The sequence below is a fragment of the Homo sapiens genome, chromosome 12 (genome assembly GCF_000001405.40).
Source record: "Homo sapiens chromosome 12, GRCh38.p14 Primary Assembly".
Lineage (NCBI taxonomy): Eukaryota > Metazoa > Chordata > Mammalia > Primates > Hominidae > Homo > Homo sapiens.
Genome location: NC_000012.12, coordinates 97,780,789 through 97,786,874, shown reverse-complemented (window position 1 = coordinate 97,786,874; position 6,086 = coordinate 97,780,789). Strand labels below are relative to the sequence as shown.

Below are 6,086 nucleotides of genomic sequence, written 5' to 3'. Positions count from 1 at the left end.
AAATACACACACACACACACACACACACACACACACACACACACACAGCGAAAGAGGGAGAAAGAACCAAAAATCAATCTGATAAAAAAAAAATACACAAAAGACAGAGGAGGAGGTAATAAGAATGAAATATAAAGATGTGAAAAGATGCTCAATCTCATCAATAATCATGAAAATGCAATTTAACAGTACAATGTCCAGTAGTAGTAAAATAGAGAAATTATAATAAGTTCATACAATAAAATATAGAGATAATGGATGAAGTACAGATACCCATCACAAAGATGCATTACCATAATGGCACTAGGAAGGGCACACAGAATGTTCTATTTCTTACACTAATGTTGTATACATAGGAGCTTTTTGTCCTGTTAGTCATTATACCTTAGCTTACCTTATAAATATACTTTTTGCATCTAATAAATATTGGATCTAAGCTACTTTTTATAAGTTATGAGTGTTTTCAGGCATGGTGGTTTACTCGGATCCTATCCTATAAGAATGACCAGATGGGCAAGTAGCTCTGGGTTGGAATGCTACATGTGAATTATGAGATTTTTTGGACTCAGAAGAAAGTAGTTTTTACTTCAAATATTCCTCATAAACTAGATACTAAAATTGAGGTTATATTTTGTGGCTTAAAGTGACTGTAGGAGTTGTGCTTCCTTAAGAGAAGTCAGAAGAAAATATGGGGCCTGATTACATTTCCATGAAGAGTCCTAAGAACTTTCTCACTATGCTACAGTTTGAATGTTTCAACCTCTCCAAAATTTATATTAAAACTTAATCCCCAATTAACAATATTAAGAGGTGGGTTTTTAGGAGGTGATTAGGTCATAAGGGCTCTGCTCTCATGGATGAGAGTCATAAAAGGGCTGGAGGAGGTTAGCTACGCCCTTGTGCCCTTCCATCCTTCTGCCATGTGAGAACACAGCAGTTATCCTCTCAAAGGATGCAGCAACAAGTCACATCTTGGAAACAGAAAGCAACTCTTATCAGACACCAAACCTGCTGGGGTCTTGAACTTGGACTTCCCAGCCTCCAGAACTATGACAAAAAAAAATCTGTTGTTTATAAATTACCCTGTTTCAAGTATTTTTATAGCAGCACAAATGGACTAAGACACTGTACAAATTTTAAGGGAACATGGGGAGACAAATAAAGATGCTCATGATTATATCCCAAAGTCCTATTCATTCAACCCACTTCATAGGGTAGTTAAGAAAATCAGACGAGATAATGAATATAAAATGGCCAGCCACATGATCAGTGCAACAAATATTAGGACATATCATTATCATTACCTTATCATAGGGTAAAATTATGAAATGATTTATTTTTTTCTATTATGGAAGTTTTCACATACATAGATCTGCTAAAATATAATCATTGAGCTTGGGAGAATTAACTTTAGCACATTTATGATCCATGAAAAATTGTGGATATTGAATTTTTTAATATTTGATGTGTTCAGACAATTTGCTTAATTCAGAACAGCCATCAGAGGCCATAAATCTCCCCCAGGAAGAGGACTGTGGAAACAATATGTACATATATGTGCACATTGTCACTGTAAACCAAGAGCTGACCTTGATTCTTAAATGCAGCCATCATTTCATTTTAACATGTCTTCCTAGCTTATGTCTTCATTTATTTACTTTCTTAGGGGGACAGACAAAGACTTCCTGTGAAGTTAAGAATTTGAAATTTTGTCCCTAAGTTTAATCTTTTGTTTTGCTAATTTAGGTTTGGCCATAACACATTCAGGCAAACAAAAACAAAACAGGAATCTGGGTCAAATGCTGAGCCCCCAGTGTGAGCCCAATGCAGGTGATAAATGGATTACTGAGTAGTCATGGGCTTAATAAGAAGAATTAAATATAAGCAATTTTAAAAAATAAATTGAAGTAGAAATCTGGGGCATTAAATTGTATCTGTCTGCACTTTATAGGATTATATTTGGACCATTTGAGGGGCAATGAAAAGATTTGGCATAACTTAGGTAATAAGTAATTTCAAAATAGAAAAACAGACAGCCTTTTAAAATGTAATAAAAAGAGAGATATGTTTTATGTAGACTTCCCCCATACTCTCATTTGGCAGCTTAATATCTCTACAGGGAAAACAAATGCATGATATCCAAACATCAGAAACGAAATATGGAAAAACGTGCATTTGTTTGAAAAACGTGCATTTGTTTGAAAAACGTGCATTTGTTTGTGCTATCTTCTTACCTTCTCCCTATAATCACACTTTTATGCTGGATGCTCTTTGATTATATTCATTTTGAATTTTTACAACATTGTGTATAGAATAGACAAAAGATAAAAACCATATGTTTGTTGATGACCTGGTTCAAAGATGAATAGAGAAATGATGTTTCTATATGTTTTATGTATTTCCTAAGACCAAAAATGGGACTTTCCAGCTGTTATTGTCTTGCAGAAGTATATATTCCCTATGGAGCAAATATGCTTCCATTCTGTTCCCACTGAGATGATTTGCTGATTCTGATCAACCCCCAGTCCTGAGTCAGGCAGAGAATTATTCAGATGATTGCCCTAATTTCAGGCTGTTCCTAGCCTAGGAAAACTCGACTTTAAGTGATCTTCCTGCAAATTACTCTTGCCTCCAACTTATTCACCAGCTCAGTGGTCCCTAATCCACCATTCTTTGTCATTGCATAATCGAAGCATATTCTTCTCCATTACTGTCATACAATATCAATGTTGTAATCTGTTTGTAATTAGGACCACTCGAAAAATCCATCTTTTCTTTATCCCCTTTCCCCATGAACTTTATAGAAGAATAAACATGCCAGTATTATTCTCTCCCACAAACAGAAATCAATCCATACCAAATTCTCTGGTGTGATGTGTATTAGCTTGTCACCGAAGATAAATTTATATTTACTTAAAGACATGTCACTCCACACAAACTTTCTCAGACCTGCAGTAAATTAAAATGCACACTTGCTTAGGCATTAAAAAAAAGGAATCATTTTGAGAAATGTAATCCACTGACTCAAGAAGTCATGGAATGAACATGCCATACGCCAATAACATTGTGCCTCAAAGAATAATGAGTCTTATTGTATCGAGCTTGCTTTAAAGTTCTTTGACGTCATAGCCTATGTATTTACTGCTGGCCTATGAACAAAGTCCTAGTCCCAGTTTTCTAAATAATGATGTAAAGGAAAGATGCTGCATGCAATTTAGTGGATTTGAGGGTTTTTGTTTTTTAATTGTGGCACGCTGCCTGGCTAATTTTATTTCTTCCTTCCATTTGCTTTGGAGTAATGTAACTTAGAAAATTTCATAAATAAAAGGTTATTTTAATAATTAATCCTGGCATATCCACTTCAAGGCAAGTCAGTCCATTTATAAGAAACCCCTTTATGTTTTCAATTCAAATTAGATAAGCTCTTCTTTGGGGGTTATCTCTTTGAAGATGCCTATTAAAAAATAGCAGGATATACCAGACATTATTTCCCTACAGCCATTTGCATTATTTTTGCTCTTTGCTAGAACTGTGCATATAGTAGGAGCAGGATAAATGCCTGCTGCTGAGAATAAAGTACTAAACTTCCAACATGTTGTATTTTCTTTCTTAAAGAGTTTACATAGTCTGGTAGCTGGATTTTTATCCATAGTGTAAATCAAAATTTGAAACAACTCAAAGCAGAAGTAGTTAGCATAGGGTAACAAAGACTCATGATTGCAAAGTTAAATTTAGAGTAAGATACAAGAGATTGTGTACTGTCTGCCTTAAGTACTCTGAAATGTAATTAATTCTTCAGAAAAAGCAAACAAACCAATAATAAACAAAAAACAAAACTAATTAGAAAACTGAAAGATTTCCTAACCACAGGCTTCCAGAAACTCTGAAAAGAAAAAGAAACAAAATCATTATATGAATGTTAATAATATCCTTTTAAGCAAGGTATCTTTTTAAAAGTGGCATTCACTATAATTATAGCAATTGAATGAACATCAGATTTCCTGGTGAATGAGATTGACCACAATTTTGTTTTTCTTTGAATATTTCATGAGTCTGTGTTCATAAGCCTGGTTTTAGAGGACAATGGAATACTACCTTATCTCAAGGCTCGTGATTTGCCTTCTGTATTACTGAAACTCGCAAGAGAAATTAGGACTATGTGACAGAATGGGTGTCTGAAGTTTTCTGTCCAGCCTTCATGTGTTTATCATGCAAAAAAAAGTATTCATTCCCTCAGTTTTTAGTGAGGGCTCACTGTGGTCCAAATAATGTGCCTGGAACATGGTTTACCATGATGAGTGAGTTGGCAATTCCCTACTCCTATTGAGCATAAGTTCTAGTAGTGGAAGAGAGACAGCAAATGAGTAAACAAAGGCATAAAAGTATTGCTGGTTGCATTATATTTGAGAAAGGAAATAAACAGAGTGACTTGGGAAAGAATGAAAGGCTGGGTCCTACTTAGATTTAGAGCTTAAGGAAGGCCTCTAAGTTATGGCAGTTAATTTTTAATTTTTGTTTATTTTTTTATTGAGACAAGGTCTCACTCTGTGGCCCACTCTGGAGTGCAGTGATGCAATCATGGCTCACTACAGCCGCGACTTCCTGGGCTCAAGCAATCCTCTCACCTCAGCCTCCTGAGTAGCTGGGACCACAGGCATACCACCACCCATGCCTGGCTAACTTTTTATTTTTACTTTTGGTAGAGACAGGGACTTGATATGTTGCCTAGGCTAGTCTCAAACTCCAGAGCTCAAGCAATCTTCCTGTCTTGGCCTCCCAAAGTGCTAGCATTACAGGTGTCAGCCACTGCGCCTGGCCAGTTATAGCAGTTAAGATGAGACTTGAAGCATGAGAAGCTGGTTGCTGAGGAATAAGCCAGGTGGAGGGATGTATTAGTATGATTTCATGCTGCTGATAAAGACATACCCGAGACTGGGCAATTTACAAAAGAAAGAGGTTTAATTGGACTTACAGTTCCACGTGGCTGGGGAAGCCTCACAATTATGGCAGAAGGCAAGGAGCAGCAAGTCCCATCTTACATGGATGGCAGCAGGCAAAGAGAGAATGAGGAAGACGAAAAAGTGGAAACTCCTGATAAAACCATCAGATCTCTTGAGACTTATTCACTACCACGAGAACAGCATGGGGAAAACTGCAACCGTGATTCAATTATCTCCCACCAGGTCCCTCCCACAACACGTGGGAATTATGCGAGTACAATTCGAGTTGAGATTTGGGTGGAGACACAGAACCAAACCATATCCAAGGAACACCAAGTAAGATATTCCTGAGGCAGACAAGAGCTTGTGGTGTTCTGAGAATCAGCAGAAGACCACGTGACTGAAGAGTGGAGAGTGAGGAGCAGGCAGGCAGCACAAATGAAGGTTGAACAAGCTAGCTCAGGGCCTGGTCATACAGGGCATTGCAAGCAAGGCAAAGAGCTTGGATGTGACTGTCTTATTTTAAGAGCACTAGGATCCAAAGAGACAATCCCCAGGTTTCACTTGCAAAGGAGAAAAATCAACTTTCCCTTCCCAGGGATATAAATTATGTGACATTCTTGTTTGTTGAATGTAAGTGCCTGGAAGTGTCGAGATAACTAACACACTGATAACTTTGGAAGAAATATTGAAAAATTCAGAGGAAATATCCAGATACGAATGTCTTATATGATGGAAAACAAAAGTACTGTGTATTATAATGAGCAGGCATTGAGGCTAGATCCTTCTACTATTTTCTTTGTTGCTTGGCAAATTACTTAATATCTTTGCATTAAAATTTCTTTTTCTGTAATATTGCAATAATAACATCAAACTCACTAAACTATTGTAAAATTCCTATAATACTATATATGAAAGCGTAACATGGAGATCGAGAACTAACAGAGAAACAAGCTTTATTAAAATATCTTAAGATGTTTACTTGGCTTCCAAATATGAATATTTTATTATGACAAATATAAAGGAAGCTTTTGCATAAATTACCAACATGGATTTTTCCACCTTTTTCTATCAAAAGACTGTAAACCTTAATGCTTTGCATTATGAAATAAAGCACTCATTGAAACCCGTGATAGTAATTAGCAT

General features: G+C 36.3%; 1 annotated feature.

Annotated features, from left to right (window-relative positions):
* Window positions 1,402-2,025: an enhancer, noted in NCBI's record as "OCT4-NANOG hESC enhancer chr12:98178628-98179251 (GRCh37/hg19 assembly coordinates)". NCBI's record gives its function as "activates a minimal SCP1, AML or CMV promoter by ChIP-STARR-seq in primed H9 embryonic stem cells {active_cell/tissue: H9 hESC(primed)}" and the evidence as "EXISTENCE:reporter gene assay evidence [ECO:0000049][PMID:30033119]".